Source organism: Homo sapiens, chromosome 22, assembly GCF_000001405.40.
Source record: "Homo sapiens chromosome 22, GRCh38.p14 Primary Assembly".
Taxonomy (NCBI): domain Eukaryota; kingdom Metazoa; phylum Chordata; class Mammalia; order Primates; family Hominidae; genus Homo; species Homo sapiens.
The window spans coordinates 32639909-32664920 of NC_000022.11; the positions used below are offsets into that span (position 1 = coordinate 32639909).

General features: G+C 47.1%; 1 protein-coding gene and 1 long non-coding RNA gene across 19 annotated transcripts in view, besides 1 other annotated feature; one reads left to right on the forward strand and one right to left on the reverse strand.

Moving 5' to 3' along the window:
* The window catches only part of SYN3 (synapsin III), a 550562-nt gene that overhangs the window by 132089 nt on the left and 393461 nt on the right, over positions 1 to 25012 (reverse strand). The window lies entirely within an intron of this gene.
* Positions 1323 to 24658, forward strand: LOC105373002 (uncharacterized). The gene is made up of 4 exons (XR_938176.4): positions 1323 to 1407; positions 13987 to 14025; positions 14113 to 14234; positions 20816 to 24658. It is a non-coding gene; the product is annotated as an uncharacterized LOC105373002 (long non-coding RNA).
* Positions 21020 to 22219: an enhancer, noted in NCBI's record as "CDK7 strongly-dependent group 2 enhancer chr22:33056914-33058113 (GRCh37/hg19 assembly coordinates)". NCBI's record gives its function as "activates an origin of replication core promoter dependent on BRD2, BRD4, P300/CBP, MED14 and CDK7 cofactors, with strong dependence on CDK7, by STARR-seq in HCT116 cells {active_cell/tissue: HCT116}" and the evidence as "EXISTENCE:reporter gene assay evidence [ECO:0000049][PMID:35650434]".

Consider the following 25012-nt stretch of genomic DNA (forward strand, 5'->3'; position numbering starts at 1 on the left):
TGGCTATTGGATGTTATAAAGTCCTATCCTCTTCCCATTTGATCCTGATCCAATTCTTCAGTCTCATGCTCTTGCTGCCACTCCTTTCTTCAATCCATATGTTCTAGAACTGCAAAACTGTTCTCTCCACAAACACACAGGCCACTCTTGCCTATTTACCTTTGCACCTGCTTTCCTCCAACTGAAATGCTTTTTCTCTCCTCCCTCTGCCTGGTGAAGGACTATACTGTCTTCAAGTCTCCACTGAGGCCTCACCTCCTCCAGGAAGCCTTCCTTGGTACCCCACAAATCACGCTGGCTGCCTCCTCTGCCCATACTCCCAGGAATGAACCTCTATTGTAGCATTTATCCCATGCCTCTCTGCTAGATTGTAAGCTCCTTGGAGGCAGGGACTGTGCCTTGTTTATTGTGTACTCAGAATCGACCAAAGTGCTGGCACAAGATGGCTGTTTAGAAAGGGTTGATGAATTAATGAGACATTATTAATCTCATTTAGATCAAATTCTCCTTGAGAGATGACTTTAAGCTCCTAGGCCAGCGGTTTTTAAACTGTGTTCTTCAGAGAACTAGGGGTTCCACTAAGAAGCTGCAGGAGTACCACTGGGGTGGAGTAGGGGCTAAGCAGACAGGACTCCAGCCCCAGCTCCTCACAGTCTTCATAAATCTATTCATATTTGGCCGGGTGCGGTGGCTCACGCCTGTAATCCCAGCACTTTGGGTGGCCGAGGTGGGCGGGTCACAAGGTCAGGAGATCGAGACCATCCTGGCTGACATGGTGAAACCCCATCTCTACTAAAAATACAAAAAAATTAGCCGGGCGTGGTGGCGGGCGCCTGTAGTCCCAGCTACTCCGGAAGCTGAGGTGAGAGAATGGCGTGAACCTGGGAGGCAGAGATTGCAGTGAGCGGAGATCGTGTCACTGCACTCCAGCCTGGGCGACAGAGCAAGACTCTGTCTCGGAAAAAAAAAAATCTATTCATATTTGTCAGATCACTTGGATTCATCTTTGATTTAGAAACAGAGTCACAGGGGTATTATAAATAAGCATCGGGCTTCAAGTCAGAAGGCTCTGGTTTGCTACGTAGCTTAAGCTGGGTGTGCCTGGGCATTCGCCCAGGTCTCTGCCTCTGCAGCAAAACGGGGGTGACCAAACCAGCCCCACAGATTGATTATGAAGAGTAAATGTGGTCCCATGGCATCATCATATATGAGAAACACCTCAATACATTGAGCACGAACGTCAACAATGGTGATTAAATTACAGGCAGTCAGGCAGGGCTGGCCTCTTTCTGACTTGTGATCTGAACCGTGGAGCTCACGTGTTCAGAATGAACATCACCTCACTGGAGTTCAAGGCTCTGCAACTCGTACGTGCTTCAGAATCCCTGGGAAGCTAAACGTTAAGATGTGAGTTCTGGGGCCGGGCGCGGTGGTTCATGCCTGTAATCCCAGCACTTTGGGAGGCTGAGGCAGGCGGATCATGAGGTCAGGAGATCGAGACCATTCTGGCTAACACGGTGAAACCCTGTCTCTACTAAAAATACAAAAAATTAGCTGGGCGTGGTGGCGGGCGCCTGTAGTCCCAGCTACTCGGGAGGCTGAGGCAGGAGAATGTTGTGAACCCGGGAGGCAGAGTTTGCAGTGAGCCGAGATGGTGCCACTGCACTCCAGCCTGGGCGACAGAGCAAGACTCCATCTCAAAAAAAAAAAAAAAAAAAAAAATTGCCTAGGGCTGTTGGGGTGTGGGAGGAGGGAAGGGGAATGACTGCTTAATGAGTATGATGTTTCTCGCTGGGGAGAGGAAAATGGTCTAAAATTGAAGGTGGTAATGGTTGCACATATCTGCGAATATACTAAAAGCCACTTAATACTACACTTAAAGTGGGTAAATTGTATTGTAAGTGACTTATATCTCAATAAAGCTGATATTAAGAAAACGAAAAAGTGCTTCCTGAGAAATTGGGGGACCTCATTGTTTGAGAAACCCTTTTCAGGGGTACAGATTGCCCCTCCCCAGCCTCCAAAGATGGAAACTCCCATATTTCTAGAGCATTTCCTCTGGCAATCCTCACACTGTGCTGGTTAAGTTTCCGGTTAAGGCCCGGGTGCGGTGGGTCACATCTGAAATCCCAGCACTTTGGGAGGCAGCGGCAGGTGAATCACCTGAGGTCAGGAGTTTGAGACCAGCCTGGTCAATGTGGGGAAACCCTGTCTCTACTAAAAATACAAAAATTAGCCAGGCGTGGTGCAAGCGCCTGTAATCCCAGCTCCTCGGGAGGCTGAGGCAGGAGAATCGCTTGAACCTGGGAGACGGAGGTTGCAGTGAGCCGAGATCATGCCACTGCACTCCAGCCTTGGGTGACAGAGCAGGACTCCATTTAAAAAAAATAATAATAATAAAGAAGTTTCTGGTTAAGGATTCCAACCATTTTCTAGAAGGGCAATCCAAATCACAAGACTGTGAAAGGACTTAAGCCACACTCAGTGTCCTACCCCAAACTTTTTTATTTTGATTTTGATTTTTTATCTTTTTATTTTATTTTTTTAATTGAGATGGAGTCTTGCTCTGTCGCCCAGGCTGGAGTGCAGTGGCGCAATCGCGGCTCACTGCAAGCTCCGCCTCCTGGGTTCACGCTATTCTCCTGCCTCAGCCTCTCCGAGTAGCTGGGACTACAGGCGCCCCCACCACGCCTGGCTAATTTTTTGTATTTTTAGTCGAGATGGGGTTTCACCGTGGTCTCGATCTCCTGACCTCGTGATCCGCCCGCCTCGGCCTCCCAAAGTGCTGGGATTACAAGCGTGAGCCACCGTACCCGGCCTTATTTTTATTTTTGAGATGGGGGTCTCACTATGTTGCCCAGGCTGTCTCGAACTCCTAAGCTCAAATGATCCTCCCACCTTGGCCTCTCAAATACTGGGATTACAGGCTTGAGCCACTGTGCTTGGCCCTATCCCAAACTTTTTGATCAGGCCCCCTATCAAAAAAAGGTGAGGATGCATCTCAATATATGATGAGTTATTTGTTTTTTAAATCTACCTAAAAGTTATACTTGTATTAATATGCTGATCCATATGGACATTATAAAATGTGCACACAATTTACACTTAAAAAGATGAGCTTATAAAAGTGATAGGGAAACCTTTTTTGAGGAAGTTATTTGTTTGTTTGTTTTTTGTTTTTGTTTTTTGAGATGGAATCTCACTCTGTCACTCAGGCCGGAGTGCAATGATGTGATCTCAGCTCACTACAACCTCTGCCTCCCAGATTCAGCAATTCTCCTGCCTCAGCCCCTCCTGAGTAGGTGGGATTACAGGTGCACGCCACCATGCCCGGCTAATTTTTGTATTTTTAGTAGAGATGGGGTTTCACCATGTTGGCCAAGCTGGTCTTGAACTCCTGACCTTGTGACCCACCCACCTCGGCCTGCCAAAGTGCTGGGATTACAGGCGTGAGCCACTGCGCCCCACCAAGGGGGTGAGATTTGAGCAGGGATGTGAAGGATGTTTATCTTCACACTTTGCGTTGCCACCTAATCTCGCCCCACAGGGGTCAACTTAAGCCTTCTGCCAAAAGCCCAGAGAGTCCTTGAAATCACTGTAAGAGATCTCTAAGAATAATGAGAGGGCAAATTAGAAATGGTGGGGGGGCGGGGGGGGCAGAACAGACCCATAAAGGAAAAGATAAATGAAGAACAGAGGAGGGAAAAAAGAGTTATAGTAGAAATAAATCAGAAGACCCCATGTTCAAATCTCAATATTTCAAACCTCTAATATTTTATGATTGGTATGAATTTGACCTTGAGTTTAGCCTTCTCATTTGTAAAATGGAGGTAACAATACTTCTCCTATAGGACAGTTCAGAGCATTTACTGAGAGGATGTGCTTAAAGAAAGAGACAAGGGGCCGGGCGCGGTGGCTCACACCTGTAATCCCAACACTTTGGGAGGCCGAGGCGGGTGGATCACAAGGTCAGGAGTTCAAGACCAGCCTGGCCAACATGAAGAAACCACGTCTCTACTAAAAATACAAAAAATTAGCTGGGCACCTGTAATCCCAGCTACTTGGAGGCTGAGGCAGGAGAATCGCTTGAACCCAGGAGGTGGAGGTTGTAGTGAGCCGAGATCTCACCACTGTACTCCAGCCTGGGCAAGCGAGACTCTGCCTCAAAAAAAAAAAAAAAAAAAAAAAAAAAAAGCGACAAGACTGACTGATGATGGGAGAAAGGAACTATTCAGGGAGGGAGATGGGAGACAGAGTGCAGTTTCACAAACATATACTGAATACCCACTGAGTGCCAGAAACTGTGCTAGGCAGGACATACAAAATGGAATTTGACCCCATTGCTACCCTTTGGGGAGCCTGAAGTTTAGCAGGGAGACGAGACATATAAGCAGATAGTCAACCGTACATTCAGGGTTGGAGGCTGGCAGTGGAGGGGAGGGGTATGAGGTGGGGAAGAGGAAGAGGGAGGTGCTCTCCACCAGTCCCTGAAGGCACACTGAGGATAAAGATCCTCCTTCTAGGTGGCAGGTGGCAGCTGTCCTGCCACGTGAGTGTCAGGGGCCCTGGGAATGCCTTTTCAGCATGCCCTGGCTCCACGCAACCCTCCCAAATAAACGCCTTCCAGCCCAGACAAGCAGGAAGTGTGCTGGGCTGGCGGATGGACTGACGCTCGCACATGCAGGCACATGCACAGGAAACTGAACTGCTGGGCAGGTTATTTTCGTTTTTCCCTTTCCACCACCACTGGAGCAATCAGTGACATTCCTTTCCCTCCTAAACACACAGGTTTGTGTACCAGAGCCTGGCAGGAAGTGAAGAAATCCCCTTTGGAAGAGCAGCAGCGGCCTCTATCCCGTGGCCTCCTCCCTCATTCCTGGGGTGGCTGCCTGGGGCCTCCCAGTGCTGTGGCCTTGGTGGCTTTTCTCCTCTTTTTCTGACTGTTCCGGGAAAGGGGAGGGATGGGGGAGAACCTGGTTCAGACCTCTTTTTGGAATCACAGTGCCTTTGGCCCTCCACTGCCTAGCTCTCTCCAGCCTCAGCTCAGTTCTTAGAATGATGTCGTAGCAGGAAGTGGTTGGGGAAAGGGTGGTGAGAGGTGGCAGACACAGGAGGAGAGAAGAGGTTCCCAGGTCCGAGAGAAAACACCAGAGGGGAGAATCCAGAGAGGACTCAGAGGTGAAACTGTGCCTTTTGACAGTGACATTCCTTCCTTCAAAACACTTTTCCTAAGAAAATTAAGAAGGCAAGGACAAGGGACCCAGAATCCTCCCTAAAGCCAGACAATAATTAAATGAGAGCTAAGGGCCGAGGAGGGCAGATCACCTGAGGTCGGGAGTTCGAGACCAGCCTGACCAACATGGAGAAACCCCGTCTCTACTACAAATACAAAATTAGCCGGGCATGGTGGCGCATGCCTGTAATCCCAGCTACTTGGGAGGCTGAGGCAGGAGAATCACTTGAACCCGGGAGGCAGAGGTGGCGGTGAGCGAAGATCGCACCACTGCACTCCAGCCTGGGCAACAAGAGCGAAACTCCGTCTGAAAAAAAAAAAAAGCTAAGGGCCCAGGAATGGCAGAAAAATACCTCCTTGCATCTTAAACTTGTCTGCTTTAATAATTTACTCTACAAGTAATACGTGCTTTCGTGTGTGTTTAAAGCTTGTGAGGCTGGATGATATTTCTGAAACGTTAATTGGTAATTGTTTCCACCTGGTATGTCCTTTCTCTTGAGACCCTTCTCCATTTGAGCCAGTGGGCTGCTCTGTGGCTACTGCTTTGGGAAAGGGACGTAACTGCTCCCTGCCCTCTGCTTTTGTTTCCAAAACCCAAGTTCTTAGGAAAACCAAAACAACTCTTGGCATAGGAGACAACAGATTTGGGAGAAATACGGTATGTAAGAGCAGGGCTTCTCACCTCTGAGATGAGACAAGAATTCCCTGTCTGGGGGAAAGGGGAAAAGTGGAGGTAAATCCACAAAAGGGGATATTTTGGGGGTTGGGGTGGGGTGGGGAGCTGTACCCCACTTCTGGCACGTGAGCCTTGGAATAAGGAACAAGTCCCAAGGAGATTCAGGCAAGGAGGGGACCTGCACATTACTTCCTGGTAGAACTATGTCACTGGAGAAGCAGCAGGACCCTAGAGTGGAAGTGGCTGCTTGAAACGTCCAGGTGGATGGAGCCGCGGAAAGGGTGCCTACTGAGGTATGAGAATAGCAGGAAGATTCCCGTGCATCCAGGAAGAGCACAGAGCAGTGGAGATGCATGGAATGGATCCCTGGCTCAACAGCAACCTGTGTGGACCATCAGCTGAGCACCTAGTGATGGACATCTCCATGAATGCCATTTGGATCAATAACATTGGTGTTTCCTCCCACTGTCTTGGAACTAACTCAAGCTCCAAAAGTCTGGCGCAACTCTAGGAGAAGGGGAGGGAACCCCAAACTGACTTTTGTTCATGCTGGTGCTTAAAATAGAAAATGAACCTTAGAAAAATCCACTTACATTTCTTGCATCTGAGTCCCCCTGGGAAGGTGGATGGAGAACCTGACTCATAAGGTCGCTTATTTAGTGTTGGCAGTTTCCATAAATATTTACACCTGAGTTTTAAACATCCGGCTAGCGCTTCTTTGTGCTAGATCTTTTTTTGGGGTAATAGAGGGATAAAGAAGGAGCAGATGTGTTATAATAGGTGCTCCAAGAAGATTGCAAATACAGCGTTATGGGAGCAGGAGGATGTTGAGAAAGTCTTTCCAGGCCCTGCAAACTATGAGTAAGGGTTTTCTCGGGTTTGAGTCAAGGATTGAGGCACTTCTGATTTGACTGGCTTTGTGAGCAGAGACTGAGAAACAATGAAACAGTGGAAAGAATGGAGGCAGATATTGCAGAAATACAAGAATAGCAAATGGCAAGGCCCCCTCTCCCTCTGTGGTTCTGTTTTGGATGAGATATTCCAGATGGAGCAGCTGAAGTGAGTGGAGACCTGTTTGGCTTGTGGAAGAGGTTTTGGTTCTGTATGGAGAGTAAAAAGCCATCAGGTTAAGAGACAAGGGCTGGCTCCCCTGAAGCCCCCTGCCTTCGCTGGTTGCTGGGAACCAAGTGAAACTCTCTTGAACTTGAGTCAGCTTGAATACAGGTCTGTGTGTCCCTGTAACTGCCAAAGGCTTGGGGGCTTGTCTGGTCACCTGTTTTATGTGTCTGGGTTTTACCTCTCCTACTTATATTCTATGTCATGAGAAAACTGGCCTTTGGTCTTGGAAGACACCACCCAGAATGCCCCTCTGCATGTCTATGAGTTCCAAATCCAAGGGGGTCAGCAGAGGAGGGACCCAGGGATCTCCAGAAGGCCTCTTGGTGTTCTTTTCTCGGAGCCTACTGTGGGCTCCTCTTCCAAGGCTACAGGCATATGAGGTAGGGACAGAGATCCTGGTGGCATCTGAGATGATGTTTGGTGATGCTTGAAAATAGCATCAACAGACTGAATCATATGCTGAGAAAGTTATTTCCTTTTCAGTGAATTTTCTAGCTTTGAGATTTTTCTTTTTCTTTTTTTTTTTTTGAGACAGGGTCTCACTCTATAGCCCAGGCTGGAGTGCAGCGGTATGATCATGGCTCACTGCAGCCTTGGCCTCCTGAGTTCAAGTGACCCTCCTGCCTCAGACTCCTGAGTAGCTAGGACTACAGATGTGTGCCACTGTTCCCAGCTATTTATTTATTTATTGAGATGGAGTCTTGCTCTGTTGCCCAGGCTGGAGTGCAGTGGCGTGATCTCAGCTCACTGAAACCTCCGCCTCCTGGGTTCAAGCAATTCTTCTGCCTCAGCCTCCGGAGTAGCTGGGATTACAGGTGCGCGCCACCATATCTGGCTAATTTTTGTATTCTTAGTAGAGACAGGGTTCCATCATATTGGCCAGGCTGGTCTCGAACTCCTGACCTTGCAATCCGCCCACCTCGGCCTCCCAAAGTGCTGGGATTACATATTTTTAATATTTTTTTACATTTTTTTTGTTTTTGGTAGAGATGGAGTCTCACTATCTTGTCCAGGCTTATCTTGAACTCCTAGGCACAAGTGATCCTCTCACTTCAGTCTCCCAAGTAGCTGAGACTACAGACACACTTTTAGAAAAGTTTTTGTAGGGATTGGGGGGGTGTCTCACCACATTGCCTAGACTGGTCTCAAACTCCTGGCCTCAAGCAGTCCTGCACACTTCAGCTTCCCAAATTGCTGGGATTACAGGAGCCGCTACACCTGGCTTAGCTTTTGAGACTCTATTAAGGAGAGTCTTAGTTTGGTTCCTGTGCTCTTTCAACACCTCCCCAATATTAGCAAACCTCCCACTTTCCTGGAGAGCTTGGAGCCCATAGCAAGCAAGAGTATCCAGCATGAATTCAATAATATTGCTTTGTTCTTGTGTTTTTTATGGTTATTTTCTTTTGTCAGGAGATACTGGTTTTCCATTTATGGTAGTCATCAGTTTCTTTGAAAATAGGTTTATTGAAGATAAAACTTAAAAATATCAATAATTATATGAATTACAGTATACACAGTACATAAATATGGTAAAAATTGTAAAGGTTGTGACCAACGATTGAAGTTTGGGAAACCCGGACTTAAAGTTTTGGCCCCAGTGAAAATCCTGCCCTTAGTAGTTTAATGGAAAGAGCACAGCATTGGTTAGAAATATCTGCATTTGAGACTTGGCATTGTAAAGCCCTGTTTGGCACATATTAGCTACATGACCATGGGCAGGTTGATTAACCTCTCAAAGCCTCAGTTTCATTAGCTGTAAAATGGGAACGTACTACCTCTTGAGGTTGCTGAAAGATTAAATGACATCACACACACAGAGTATACGCTGAGCTCAGAGCCTGGCTCACAGCAAACAACTAAGATGGACAATTATGATTTTTGTTGTTGTCCAAGAAGCACCTCTTTTACTCTGAGGTGCCACACAACAGTCATTGGCCACTCATACCAATGAATGTGCATTTTACATTTTCTCCCTGCAGGGAGTTTGGATGGGCACAAAGTAAAACAAAGAGGCCCCTGGATGTGAAGGAGTGTATGAAATTAGGAAACAAGTATCTCCTGACCACCTATTACAGTTGATTGTATCATCGTTCCTAATTCTTCACCCCTCTCTGTATCAATACCTGTTGTCAGGTGACTTGATAGTTTCTTCCACTAGAGGCGGAGTATACTTCCCCTATCCCTAATTCTGGGCTTGGTCATGTCGCTTATTTTGGCCAATGGGCTGGTAGCAAACGTGACACAAACAGTGGCTTAAAATGTGCTTGTGAATTTGGGTATGACCCTCTTGTACTGCTGCAGTTAGCCATGTCCTGGCTAGCTTGCTGGTCCACTCAGCGCCAGGCCTAGAGCAGCCAATTCCCATCTGACCTGTGAGAGCAAGAATAATTATTTTTTAAGCCGCCGAGCTTTGGGATGGTTTATTATGTTTCAAAATTGTGACAATAGATGTTAATGACCCCTAGTATGTACCGAGTACAGGCATTTTCGTATAGTCTATTTAATTTCATCTTCAAACATCCCCATTTACTAATGAGGAAATTGAGACTTTGAGAAAGCCCTCCTGGTCCAAGATCACACAGAAAGGAAACAGCTGAGCTTGGAGGCAACCCTGTTCCAACTCCCAGAACATGCTCTTCTTACTACACCACGGAAGAATGGGGTGGTGGGAGGCGGAACACAACAAAACTAGCTTCGCGGCTGGGCCCAAGGCTGGTCCCATCTAGAGTCATCTTTGAGACCACAAGAGCCAACATCATAAATCTAGAATTGTGACAACACAGGATGACTCAGGCAGGGGGTGGCCGGACAGGGAAGCCCTGGTGAGGGGCTGGTTGGTTATAAAACCTCAGTCTAAATAGGGACAGGGCGGTAACATTAGTAGACAGGGCTGGGCCACAGAATCGGGTGGTTTAGGACAAATAATGACTTGAAATTTATTTTGGAAAATATTTTCCCAAGTGTCTCACTGGGCCTTGTGGGAATGAGAAAATCAGTGGGGAAAAAGCCAGGAGAAAAAGCTGATGAGGCTGAGAAGGGGCTCATGACTAGTAGGCTTTGATTTCATAAAATTCAGAGCATTAGATGTTCCTGGAGGTGAACTCTTACTCATGCTATAGAACTCTTCCCCCAATTCCCCCGCTCTGTGAGTTATCCCATCATAAGACAGACGCAATCTCAAATTTCTCTATTCATTCTCCAACAGTTATGACAACGGCCAGCATTCATTGAGCATGTACTAATTGCCAGACACTATTCTAAGCTCTTTACACTTTTCTTTCTCTCTCTCTCTCTCTCCCTCCCTCCCTCCCTCCCTCCCTCCCTCTCTCTCTCTCTCTCTTTCTTTTTGAGACAGAGTCTCACTCTATCACCCAGGCTGGAGTGCAGTGGAGCGATCACAGTTCACTGCAACCTCTGCCTCCCAGACTCAAGCAATCCTTCCACCTCAGCCTCCCGAGTAGCTGGTACCACAGGTGTGTACCTCCATGCCTGGCTAATTTTTGCATTTTTGTGGAGACGGAGTTTCACCATGTTGCCCCGGCTGGTCTCAAACTCCTGGGCTCAAGCGATCCCCTCATTTCAGCCTCCCAAAGTGCTGGGATGGCAGGCCACTCTACCTGGCTGCACTTTACACTTTTATTGGTCCTTTCAATCTTCACAATAATGCTAAGCAGAATATGCTCCTACTCTTTCCCATTACACAAATGAAGGAGAAAAACAGAGGCCCAGAGATATGAACTACAAAGCCCAGGCTCACACAGCTGGTCAGAGGCAGGGTTGGAACTCTAATTTGAGAGAGTATGCTCTGACTCACTATGCCGCGTGTTTACTGTACAGCGCTGTGACAATCTGAGTCTCTTATTAAATGAGATAATGCATGCCAAGCACTTAGCTTCTTGCCCAGCATTAGAGACGGCCAAAAATATTACAATACCAAGTATTCTTATGCTGATATGAATTTTATTTTATTACCTTATAACAGCTGCTTCCCCAGTCCTCCTTAGAGAGGAAAGTCTTTGTGGGGAACATACTTAGCGACTGGAATAGAAGGTCAGTCACTTGAGGGTCTGGGGTCAGCTGCAGCCAAGTCCTCATGGGTGGGAGGGACTGGGGAGAAGAAATTGGAGATCTTGGCCAACTGTGAGGGGTCTGAGGAGTAGAGATGGAAGAGCACAGAAGGCCAAGAAGACAGACAAGGGCTCTGTATTGTGAGATAAGACTCCCTTCTTGGGACCTCACTAAGGAGGTCAGTGAGTCTACTAAACACACTGCTCTTGGTAGGAGACATTTTCGCTTGTGGCGGGAGAAAGAGAAGCCACTGAACTTGATGCCAGCATTGATGTGTGTGGGGTGATGGCCATGGGGGAGTCAGTGCCCCAGAGGAAGTTCAGAAGAAGATGAGCCCACCAGTGATTAGCAAGAATCTGAGAAAGGCCAGGGAATTTTCCTTGAGTTAGGAGGTCTCCAGCTGGCCTCTGGGTAGGGTTGTTATTTTCGATGGTGTGGCTAACATTCTTGCCCCTCTCCATGATATGCATGTTTCTGGAGCACACAGGTGGGGCATGATCGCTCCTCTGGCTCCCCCAGGGCCAGCTCAGTGAGAAGTCAGGAAGCCTTGGATGCATGCTTGAATGAATGAATGAATGAATGAAAAGGCTTTAAACTGAGGATGGCCCATGCTTGCTCAGATATACATCAACTCAGCCACGCGTGATACCCCATCATCAGAGGATGCTTTAGACATCTCAGTTCGCCATGTTCCTAACCTACACCCTGCTTCCCAAACTGCTACTGATGCTGCAACCAACTCCATCTCTGGGTTGATCCCTCAGATTTACATTAGGGGATGGTGACATATGGGCCTCGTGGCTGCCCTTTCCTCCTCCTCACTTGGGCTGACATTAGAGCAGTGTGGTTCCACCATGAGCCAATGTGTGGAGACATTCTTGGTTTTCACAATGAGGGGAATTGCTACTGGCATCTAGCGGGTAGAAGCCAGGGATGCATCTAATCCTAGAATGCACAGGCTAGCCTCCTGCAACAAAGAATTAGCCTATCCAAAACGTTAATAGTGCCAGAGTTGAGAGGCTCTGCATTAGAGTGTCATGGTTCAGAGCACACTCACTGGAATTTAAGAGGACTGGTTTGATTCCAGACTCTGCCACTTAGGTTGAGACAGAGATGATAATTGTATTTACCCGTAGGGTCATCAAAATAATTAAATTGGGTCTATCAACAACCAACTTCTGCCATCTCCTCCCCGCTAGTCCCCACCAAAATGCACACACTCAATTTAGAACAGCCGGCCAGATTTCACCATGGCCCAGGAACAGAACTCGTATGGGTTCTCAGGCCCAGCAGGTTCTTTGTTCCACGAGCCATGACATGCTTCAGTCCTTCCACGCTAAGGGCATCTTTCCCACACCTAAGTCTGCGATGCAAGTTTTTTTTTTTTTGGAAAAAAAAAAGTTTTCTTTTTTGGAAGAAAACAAAGAAACAAAGTTTCTTTGTTGGAAATGGCTAATTGTTTTGCTTTCATCGTCTCAACTGGGGAGTTGGGTTTGAGGTAACAAAGTTGTGAATGCAAATGGTTATATGCAACTAGGCAAATCAGATTTATATAAAAATCTAATTTTACTAAAGGGAACACTTTCTGGTAGGGGGTGGGGGACCAGCAGCTCAATTCTATGAAGCAGAAGGTCAGTTCCTCGGAATTTATGCTATAAAAACTTAATGCACATCCACAGAATGTCAGAGGAAGTGATGTCAGAGACCATTTTGTCAAACCCCCTTTGAGAAATTGACGCCCAAAGGGAGGGGAAACTTCCTCAGGGTCACTCCCTAGTTAGCGGCAGAGAGGAGATCAGAACCGAGAGGTCCTGACGCCCTGTCCAGGCTGGCTCCACCCCACAGAATTGCCTCTCCCTAAGGGAAATCCCTATGAGCTTAGGTGTCGAGGAAAAGATGACTTCTCCCTACGTTTTCAGTTCAAACCTCACAGTCAATAAGAATTTAATGTTCAGAATCATCTCTTGCAATGGGGCTTTCATTGCACGTGTTTTTTTCTTCTCTTGGCCTAGAGGCAATATTAAAGTAATTCCCTCTGTGGGTGCTTTGCTCCATATGTAAACACATGTCTACCATCTATACACAGGCACATGCATTTGTCATTTCTTCCCAGAATGACTTAATGATTTCCATGTAACGAATATGTTGCAGCTGTTGGTTTTCTTGAGGCTGAAGCACTCAGAAAATCATCAGTTATCAAATTGCTTTCCCATCACTGTTTTTCCCAAACTGGACAAATTTTCTCCCCCTTTCCTTAAAAGAAAAAAAAAAAAAGGTATGATGGGCCAAGATGATGCCCCTTAGGCTTTAGAATTTTTTATCAATGGCAAAATCACGGCTAAAATATCCCTATCAGTTATTTTCTGAAGTTGATGTCTGCCTTACCTTTAAAAACAAAGGCTTGTGCTGCCAATGAAAAATGAAACAAACAAAAAAGGTTTACAAGAAAAGCATGAAAAGGAGGTTAGAAAACAAGGTAAGAAAAAAATGCTAGGGCTTCATTTCCAGCCAAACCCAGAGTCCTTTATGGGAGGGGCTGCAGGGACCAGGCTCATGGTGTATTTTTGGGGAAGCTTCTTTGGAGGAGAATTTTAGTTTGCTCACACATGGCAGCCAGCTTCCAGTCAGAAGATGCAGGAGGTGAAAAGTTGGGGGTCAGGAGGTAGGAAGTGGCTCTGGGGAAGACAGTGTGTTGAGTTAACGGGATCAGGAAGACTCGGGTCCAAATTCTCATAGCCATTTAGTAGCTTTGTAACTTTGAGAAAATGGTTCAACTTCTCTGAATCTCAATTTTTAAACTCCACATACAGAGCCTTTTCTCATTGGGTACTGAGGATTAGAATGAATGCCCAATAAAGGTATCTCCTCTCTCTCCCTGCTTCCTTTCCAGCCTTTTGAAGTCTGAACTCTGGCTGACAGAACGTAAGAGGTAGGTGTGTTCTGTGAACACGTGCCACTGCACCATTAGTTCCTGCCTGGCCTTGACCCCAACACGTTCTCTGCTTACCTGGACCAGGGACAGAAGAAGATCTTCCTGCTATAATGCCAGGGCCCAGTACCCACACTGGGGGCCTGTGGTGCCCAAGGTGTCTCCAGCCAGGCCTATGCCTGAGAGTTAAGAGAGGACACAGCAACAAGGTAAGTCGGCCCAGAGCAGCCTGGACCTGCCAGGTTGCCTAAAGCCCTTTTTGTCTGTTTCATTTCCTCCATCCCACCCTGACACCCACTCCCCTCCCTCCACTTTCTCAGTTCCTTGGTCCTGGCAGTTTTTCTTGTCTGGACTGTACTACTACTCTCAACTCCAGCCTGCTCACTCTGCCACATGTGTCTTCTCAAAGCCTGGCTCCAGTCATACCTGATTGTAAAACATAAATCTGTCAATGGCGACCTCCTCAAGTGATCCCCCAAATCAAGTTCCTTGGCTCTGCCTCCAAAGCCTCCTGTGGTCTGGCCCCAGCCTTATCTTCTGCTGGTCCTTTTCCTGTCCCCTACATGCCACCCAGACGGGACAGCTTGTCCCCTGCCTACGTGGCTCAGAGCCTTTGCCCTGGCTGGGTCACTCTTGGAGGTACTTCTGTCTCTCTCCACACCGAGATCTCATTCATGTCCATATCCAGCTCAGAGACCCTCACAGAAGTGTGAACCCTACTGTGAACTGCACATGCAAGGGAACTAGGTTGAACGCTCCTTATGAGAATGTAATGTCTGATGATCTGTCATTGTCTCCCATGCATGCTTCCCAGCATGCCTGCCTAGCCCCATTCCACGTGTTCGGCAGCCATTTGCTGCTGCTACTCTGGGCTGGGGCCAGGCTCCACCCCTTGATATTCTAGGTGCTTGTCCCTTTCTCTCCTGACATTTACCATGTTCTATGTCCTTTTGTAGTTACTTGTGTATATGTCACATTTCTTCTACTGTTGTCAGCTCTTCTAGAGCAGGAAAGGAAGCCTCATGCATTTTCCCCTAAGCTACAGGGCAAGCATAGAATAATGGAAGAAATTAAGACTTGAAATCACATGACCTGGGCTCAAAGCTGCTATGGTTTGAATGGATGTGTCCCTCCAAATTTATATGTTGTAGCTTAAACCCCAAGGTGATGGTATGAAGAGATGGGGCCTTTGGGAGGCTTCAGAGAGCTGCTTGGCTCTTCCATGTCTCATGCTATGTGAAGACACAGTGTTCATTTCTTTTATGCCACTTCTGCTGCATGGTGACAGAGCAAGAAGTACCCTCTTTGAGGCAGAGCGTCCTCACCAGACACTGAACCTGTTAGCACCTTGAACTTGGACTTCCCAGCCTCCAGAACTATGAAATACATTTCTATTCTTTATAAATGACCCAGTCTGAGGTATTTTGTCACAGCAGCAGGAATGGACTAAGACAGGGGTCTCCAACCCCTTGGCCACAGACTGTGGCCTTGGTACCAATCTGTGACCTGTTAGGAATTGGGCCGCACAGCAGGAGGTGAGCAGCAGGTGAGCCAGTGAAGCTTCATCTGTATTTATAGCCCATTTATACCCCATTGCTCGTATTACCGCCCGCACTCTGCCTCCTGTTAGATCAGTAGCGGCATTAGATTCTCATAGGAGCGTGGACCCTATTGTGAACCATGCATGCAAGGGATCTAGGTTGCATGCTTCTTATGAGAATCTAATGTCTGATGATCTGTCATTGTCTCCCATCACCCCCAGATGGGACCGTCTAGCTGCAGGAAAACAAGCTCAGGGCTCCCACTGATTCTACATTAGGGTGAGTTGTATAATTATTTCATTGCATATTGTGATGTAATAATAACAGAAATAAGGTGCACAATAAATGTAATGTGCTTGAGTCATCCTGAAACCATCCCTCCCCATCCCTGGTCAGTGGAAAAATTGTCTTCCACAAAACTAGTCCCTGGTGCCAAAAAGGTTGGGAGTCGCTGGACTAAGACAAAACCCCAGCTTCACCACTTCATGACCATTGGAGAACTAATCTCCCTAAGCCCAGTTACCCACTCTACTTGTAAAACAGGGGTGCAGGATTATTGTGAAAATGAGAGGATATGGTCTCTGGGAATGCCTGCTGTGTGGTAGATGCACAAAAACCAGTAAGTGTCCTTCCTTTAGCAAGGGGTTTTGAACGGCTCATAATACTACCGTCTACTGTTTCACAAGTATATCCTTCCATTCTGCAAATTTCTGCAGGGCAGGCCTCATGTCCCCTTTCAGCACAGTGGTTATGAGTCAAACATGTTGAGCTCCATTTCTCCATTTCTGACTCTCTCACTTACTTGCTGCTTGACCCTAGGCTAAAGAAGCCTCAGTTTGCTCATCCATAAATTGGGAAAAATAACATAATCTACCTTACAGACTGTTGAAAGGATTAAGCGACATGATGTATATCAAGTGCTTGGTTCGTGGTAAATCTCAACAAATATGAGCTGCTGTATCAGGATAGTGCTTTTGAAACATGATGCAGAAAGAGCTCTCCTTTGCATCTCCTTGGATGGAAACTTACCCAGCATGTGCTTGTCTTGGGGAGGTTGAGGTTTGAGGTGTTAGCAAAGCAGAGTGGTAGCGGATCGATAGTCAATGTTTAACATTCAGAGTAGGACTTTTTGAGTCTGTAAAAGGAGTCTTGTCTTAAGCAAAATCAGAATTTCTAAATTATTTTAGCTGCTATTGACTTAGAGGGAGCAGGACATAGTTTTTTGTTGTTGTTGTTTTGTTTTTTTGTTTGTTTTTTCTTTTACTGGATAGAGCAGCTACCTCTTCTATTCAGGCTGAGCAAGAGGCTGAATGCCCGTAGGAGGAAGACGGGATGTAGGGACGTCCATACCAGAGACAACAAAGAAGAAAGCTTTTCACTGCAGGGCATTGTGGGAGGGAGACAGGGAGAGAGGGGAAGAGAAGTGAGAAGCCCCTGTGTCCATGAGGTCTCTGAGCTGAAGCATTAGCTAAGGGCACCTTGTTGGGTGGAGAAGAAAGCTGGCAAGGTGGGTGGGGAGCTTCTGCCCCATTCTGGCTTGGAATTCTGGGAAGAGATCCCCTCCCAGGCATCCCCCTCCCTACCTACTCAGCATCAGTCTCAGCCTGAGAGACTCTGCATTTGCCCTCCTGAGCCACCCTCACTTCTCTTTTCTTTTTTTTCTTTTTGAGACGGAGTCTTGCTCTGTCACCCAGGCTGGAGTGCAGTGGCGCGATCTTGGCTCACTGCGAGCTCCACCTCCCGGGTTCACGCCATTCTCCTGTCTCAGCCTCCTGAGTAGCTGGGACTACAGGCACCTGCCACCTCACCCGGCTGATTTTTTGTATTTTTAGTAGAGACGGGGTTTCACCATGTTAGCCAGGATGGTCTCGATCTACTGACATTGTGATCCACCCTCCTCAGCCTCCCAAAGTGCTGGGATTATAGGCGTGAGCCACCGCGCCCGGCCCGAGCCACCCTCACTTCTTGTCTGACATGGAAGGGAACCAGAGGCTCCCATAAGCCACTGAGAGAGACACAGAAGTTAGCTGAGACTCAGACAGGGGTGCTGGCCAAGGAAGGTTGTTGCCCCAGGGCCAAATGGCCTTCAACCAGGGGCTACTCGCATTCAGGCTGCCCGGGCAGAGCAGAGTGGGGGTGGCATCATTCTGAGAACAAGGCAGGGCTTGGTAAGAAGGGCTGCAGACTGTGCTCTCCGGAGCCTTCCCTATGCTCAAAGGACACAGCAGTCATGAACTGGGCTCCAGTGTCACTCATCAGCTGAATGCTTGGGACAGGATCAGGCCAGCCCCTCCTCAATGCATGCCAGCCAGGCACAACCAAAGTGCAGACCTACAGCCCCCCAGTGGAGAATGGCCAAGGACCATGTCAGAAGACCTTCACCCTCTCTCCCCTTGCCACCCTAAGTCTCTGGCATTGTGCTGGCACCTTCAACAAACACTTCTCTTTCCCCTCCTGTCTTCCTAGGACAGTGTTTGCATCTTACTCATCCTGAATCTCCCTCAGTGCCCTGCAGAGAGTAAGTGCCTCACACAGTGCTTGATGAGTGGATGAAGGTAGCCTTGTTAAAGCCTCTGGGATGGATTTGAGGACGTTAAAGCATGCTGAGGGGGAGGAGAGAGAAAAAAGGAGGGTGGGCCGGGAGTCGGGAGGAGACCTCTCCATTCTTACGGTGAACAGGCCAAGTGAGGCAGAAGGAGAATAAAGGCAGAGCCTAGGGTGAGGGCAGGGGGGCTGCAGACACCCCTAGAGCCCAGGAGAAACCAAAGGAAGGTGGTCGGTGACGAGCAGGTGGGAGATCCCTGGGTAGGCTGTGCTGGCAGCACCCTGTGCTCATAGCTGGTGTTTGACTTCCCCCAACCCCGCTTTCGGGTGGATGGGTGAGAGAAGCAAGTGTGGCCCAGCAGGCTGCAGAGTGAGCTGGTGTCTGTGAGAGGCAGGGGTCCTCCTGGAGACTGGGCCTTGGGTCAGCGAGGGACATGCTGACCCTGCCTTGGCAGGTTAGAAGCTGGACAGCCAACAGCCCTTCCATGATGGCAAAAATACACATCTCTCACGCTCATTGAAGGCTTTGCAATTTACACAGGCTACAGGATGACTGTGGAGTCGCCCATCCCATCCATAAGGCATTTCAGGCAGGTACCATGATCAACAGATGCTATTACACCCCCATTTGATGAGTAAGGATGTTCGTGGTGACAATGGGATTTAGGGTGAACATGGGGTCGGGATGTGTACAAAGATGAGGGTGCACTTAACTTCCCCTACTGCTAAAAAAGGGACGTTGAGCTGGAGCTTGAAGAATGAGCTGTTGTCCATCTGAGGGAGAAGGCAGAGAAAGGACATTTCAGGCACAGTGAACATGTGTGAAAGGATGGGGGCGTGAGGAAGCATGTTATATGTAGCGATAATAACAGGAATGATTGCTAACATACATTGCGAGCATACCACATGACAGGCGCTATTCGGACTTCACATACTGAACTCAAATCCATTCTCACGACAGCCCAGTCTGGTAGATGCTAGCATGAACTCCATTTTATAGATGAGGAAATGAAGGCACAGGGAATTAAGTGATTTCCTTAAGGTCACAATGAGAGCAAGTGGTGAAGCCAGGACTGGAACCTACTTGAGGGACAGGCGTCCTAACAGTGTAACCAAGGTGAGTAAGGGCTAAGCAGGAAGGGATGAAGTATGTAGCTAAAGAGTTGGAGTGGGGTGATGATAAGGGAAGATATTTAGATTTTATCTAAGAAGCAATAGGGAGCCATTGATGGTCTAAGCAGAAGAGTGTTAGAAAGGTCCATGTGGCACAGGAAAGAGGGAAAATTGAGAGAGAGAATGAAGCCACGAAGAGTGTGCTGGGGAGACAGCCAGATCCTTTATTGTTACATGTAAGCCAGATTGCTTCTTCCATCTGGGTAACCATCACCCACTCTGGAGCTCAACTTCAGAACATGGGTTATACTATTTCACAAACTCTTCCTGGGAGACAAGAGCTCCACCTGGACCTGTGACATGACTGGTACCTCCCACATCACATTCTGTGCACCCAGTAACTGCATTTGGCTCTGTTTTCCTTGGATTGCTAGACATTCTTTACCTCTTTATTTAATGCACTAGGTGGTGTTCCTTTTCACCCTAGGAGCACAGGATAGTATTAGAGTCCTTGAAAAGGTGTTTCAGATATTCTTAGTGGGAAGCTCTTCCACTGGGTGTGACCCTGGACAAATGCCTCCTCCATACTTTTTTTGCTGCCTGTCTTGTTTCTCATATATACATGGGCAGGCAACCTGGATTCTGCCAGGCAACCAGGTGGCAAGTTGGCCCGCCCACCAGTCCCAGTTCTAAAGAGTGGCTGTGTGACTTTGGTGAAGTCACTGTGTCTCCCTGGGATGCATCTGAGAGGAAGGAGGCTGTACTAGACAATACAGGCAATACCTAAACTGTCCTCCAGCAAATCATGTTTGCTGTTTCCAGAATCTTTACTTCCGAGAGTCTAATTTTATTCAATGGTTCAATGTATATTTGTAGAGTCAGGCATGGTGCTAGGGATATGGTGGTGCAAGATAGAAAGAACCCTTGCTATCATTCTCACTGATCATATTCAGTAACTGATCCCATTGAACATCCATGCATTGAGCACCCATTACCTCCTGGATCTGCTGCTAGAGGCTATGAGAGGCATAGAGAAGATGAAGATATGGTGCCTGCTCTAAACTAGCTTTTCCTCCAAGTTCACCTCCTTAAAGGGAGACAGCCAGCTGAATGTGGTCAGGAGGACTCCTTAAAAGGCGCTCCTTTTGCTCATCACCTGTAACTTCAGTCAAATAAGTAGCCGTGCCAAACCTGGTTTCTTTGGGGCATGGCTTCCAGGTCAGTGCGTCTCTGACACTTGCCCCAGGTGCAGCAAAGTTGCGAAATGGACACGGCTCCGTGTGCCCACCAGATGGCGGCATTCTAGCATATTCCCTAACAGCTGGGGTCATTGAGAAACAGCACCCTGTGTTGGTGGAGGGAAGAGACCACTTCCTCTCTAATCCAGGGCCCATTCATACTGATCTTCTGGAAAGTTCTGGGGTTAAGGGGCTGGCGGGGAAGGAATGGTGGTCGGGCAAAGGAAAATGGCGCTAAATGCTCCATCCAACAAACATTTCTGGCTGCCTTCTGGAGCTCCCCTTGTCCCCAAGTCTGCATTTGGTGATAAATTTGCATCATTACTTATTTACCTGTCATTCTCTTTTGTCCAGTTGGCGCCATGTCTATTTCCTCTTGGGATCCATGGTGCCTACGCAGAGTCTGGCCCAGAGCAAGGATTAAGGGTCTTGGCCGAAAAAAAGTGAAGCTTATTTTAAGCAAGAACTTAAAACAGACTCTCACCTAAGGACCACCACCCAGGCGAGGGCTTCTTGGGCCATTAACATCCTTGACCTCAAAGATGGAAATTGCAAGATGGGAGACTGAGAGTGCCGTTCAAGGTTCCCTAATGTGAGCCATTGGAGACATGGCTGGGATCAACTTTAACCTATCTCTGCTCAAAAGGTGTCAACCTTGTCCACATCAGCCAGGATGTCAAGGTGGAGAGGATAGAAATTCCGGATCTGGCTGAGTCTAGTGCCCACCAGAGAAAACTTTGGCCTTTAATCTGGGATTTTTACATCATTTTCTTCTCTAACAGAGGGAGAGAGAGGGGCATGAGTTGGGTCCACCAATTGGGACAAGCAGGTCCAACCTGCTTCTCTGCTGTCTTCAATTCCATTCAGACCCCTACGCCCTGCTGCCTAGCACCTCCACCTTCCCCTCTGGGGCTCCAGCAAAGAGGAAGGCAGTCAGAACCACTCCAAAGGGTCCAATCTCCTTGCATTCCAGCCCTGGCCAAAGTCAGCCCGGGAACAAGTGGAGAGCCCCTCTTGAAGGAAGTGATTCAGAAACCATGATGGCCTGGCGGCCCGCCGTGACTCACAGCACATCAATGGGGGAATTGTCTGTAGAAGCCGAGAATTCCAAAGCTCTTTTCTTTCCTTTCTTACTTACTTTCTTTTTTTTCTTTCTTTCTTTCTTTTTTGCCCTCCCCTTGGCGGCATTGTGCAACAGCAGGGCTGCCCAGAAACATGTGGTTTTCATCATTGGCTCCACAGCTGCCCTAGAGCACTGTGGAGAAAATAAGATGGAGAGGGAACAGGATACAAGGGGACCTGTCGCGGTCAAGCAGGGTCCTTCTCTTTCCCCCCACCTTTCTTGTCAACACCAACATCCTCAAAGAGCATCTGGAACGGAAGGGAATAGAATTTTGGATCTGGGAGAAAACTTAGAGTATGTCTCATCCAATAACTCTATGTACAGATGAGGAAACTGAGGCCTCAAGAGGGGACGTAAGTGGCTTGGCAAATGTCCACAGCCAAGTTGCATCTTGCATCTTGCTGCAGTGACTGACTTTTCTTAGCCTCCAAGTCAGGAAATGTAGTTTGACAAAGGATAATTTTTTTCCATGGAATGTGACAGATGAAAAGTCATACCAAGTTTAGTTATAAATCTCTCCATTGTCCCTTTCCCCTTATCTACCAGTCTAGGGAGTCTGTTTTACCCGGAGTCATCTGTGGGGACACGTGCAAAATCTAAAGGTCTTTTTGCAGTTGTCATCTGATTGGTCATCTCTGTAGCATGTGAATTAATGTCCACAGGTTTCCAGGTATTCCCCCTATGCATCCACTCCTACCTCTGCAACGTCTCCTTTTCGGCATTCTTTTCTCCTCCCTTGGCTCTCAGATGCCTTAGTTCTATAGGGCTGTCTTATCTTAACTCATATCCATGTTCACGGTTTCAGTGGCTATCATTCAGCTGAGGACTCCCAAATCTTATCTATAGTCTGTTCATCATTCCTGAGCTACAGACGTGTACATACAGCTGCCTTCTCAGTGCCTTTCTTGGATTCCCCAGATGGAACTCATCATTTCCCTCCATAGCTCTTTGACTACTTTGATTTTATTACCAAGTAACTATGGGACCAATATAGTCAGTGTTCCAAAGCACATGCTTTGGCATCTTATTGACCTGGGCCTGACTCCCAGATATGCCACTTAACTGGCTACGGGTCTTTGGCCAAGTTACTGACCTTTCCAAGTTCCTCATCTGTAAAATGGGGGTAATAAAAATACCTACTTCATAAGGCTGTCATTAAGAGGAAATGAGTTAATACAATAGCATTAACACAATGCCTGGCACATAATAAATACTCAATTACTGCTGAGCTGTTATTTTTATTATGTACCTCAGCATCCTCCCAACTTGAGCCACACTGAATTCTTAGCACTTAAAATATTTACTGACCACATATGTGTTCCAAGCACTGTGCGTGGTATAGAATTACATGAGTGGATAGATGAATTTTCTGTTTTAAAATTGCCTTACAAAGTATCCCCATTTTACAGATGAGGAAGACAATCACTTTCTGAGAAAAGCAAACAACCAACCAAGAGATTCCCTCATGTTCCTTCTTACTAGCCAATAATTTATACTGAATATGATGACACAGAAAAAAAGAAAAAGGTAGGCCAATTCATAGTTCACTTTTCTTTTAGTCCTTACTTACTCAACAGTAAGCCTCAAGTAGAGGGGGTTGGAAGAATGTGTGTGCATCCAGAAGTGAAATAAAAACAGTTGAGTTAGTTTTGTGTAGCATGGTTGTGTAAGAGGAAACCCCTTTCGCTTGGCTCTCATTTTCTCTTGCTGCCGCCATGTAAGACGTGCCTTTCGCCTTCTGCCATGATTGTGAGGCCTCCCCAGCCATGTGAAACTGTAAGCCCATTCAACTTGTTTTTCTTTTCTTTTCTTCTCTTTTTTTTTTTTTTTGAGTCTCACTCTGTCGCCCAGGCTGGAGTGCAGTGGCGCCATCTTGGCTCACTGCAAGCTCCGCCTCCCGGGTTCACGCCATTCTCCTGCCTCAGCCGCCCGAATAGCTGGGAGTATAGGCACCCACCACCACGCCCGGCTAATTTTTTGTATTTTTAGTAGAGACGGGGTTTCACCGTGTTAGCCAGCATGGTCTCGATCTCCTGACCTCGTGATCCACCTGCCTCGGCCTCCCAAAGTGCTGGGATTACAGGCATGAGCCACCACGCCCAGCCTAAACCTCTTTTTCTTTATAAGTTACCCAGTCTCGGGTATGTCTTTATTAGCAGTGTGGGAACTGACTAATACAGCATGTAGGAACTATGAAATATGAATTGTGTAATTTTATTGATTCTGCTTATGAGTTCAATGTTTTCATATTTGCATTTAAAATTTTGCATTGCACAATGTAAAAGTAAATGGTAAAATCCACGTGAATAATGTAAAATTTCATTTATTTATTTTACCTAGAATGATATTAAATAGCAATTAAAACAGCATTATGACAAGTCAAGAGAGAGATAGTGGAAGGAAAGAAAAAGCTTTATATTTAGTATCTTTAACAGCATTCCCCCCCCACACTGCACATTTTGAAAAAGGGATCCTGCAAATTATGTAGCCATCCCTGACTAAGATAGGGAAATGTCTTTGAATTTTAGACTTGAGAAGAGACTATGAAAAGTCTCTCAGAGAACCCTGCTCTGCTCACCACCCATCATATTGTATGTGAAGATGGTAAGAGCTACAGGGAGTCTTAAGGTCACACAGGGAGCAAGTAGATAAACCAAGACTGGTGCCCATGCCATCTGACTCCATTCCTTCCTAGTCTAGCATTCTTCACCTAATGTGTGCTCTTCCTTCTGTCAGAAATCCCACCTTATGACTTGGAGATAAGATTTCCCCTTTGCAATTGAAACCATCCAATCAGTACTTGGCTGATGATGTGCAATTGATATGCCTTCCATCCAAGGCCAGGGAGACTTGGCCAGCACTTGGTTAAAAGTAATAAATAGTTTTCAGGGGAAAATCTAGTGGTCGGTGTTTTAGTCCTTGTCTTTCTTGACCTAACAGCAGCATTTATTTATTTATTTATTATTTTTTATTTCCATAGGTTTTTGGGGAACAGGAGGTGTCTGGTTACATGAATGAGTCCTTTAGTGGTGATATCTGAGATTTTGGTGCACCTGTCACTCGAGCAGCATACACTGTACTCAATTGGTCGCTTTTTTTTTTTTTTTTTTTTTTTTTTGACAGAGTCTCGCTCTGTCGCCCAGGCTGGAGTGCAGTGGTGCGATCTCGGCTCACTGCAAGCTCCGCCTCCTGGGTTCATGCCATTCTCCTGCCTCAGCCTCCCTTGTAGCTGGGACTACATGCGCCCGCCGCCAAGCCCGGCTAATTTTTTGTGTTTTTAGTAGAGACAGGGTTTCACTGTGTTAGCCAGGATGGTCTCGATCTCCTAACCTCATAATCTGCCCGCCTCGGCCTCCCAATCTGCCCGCCTCCACCTCCCAAAGTGCTGGGATTACAGGCGTGAACCACTGCACCCAGCCTAATTTGTA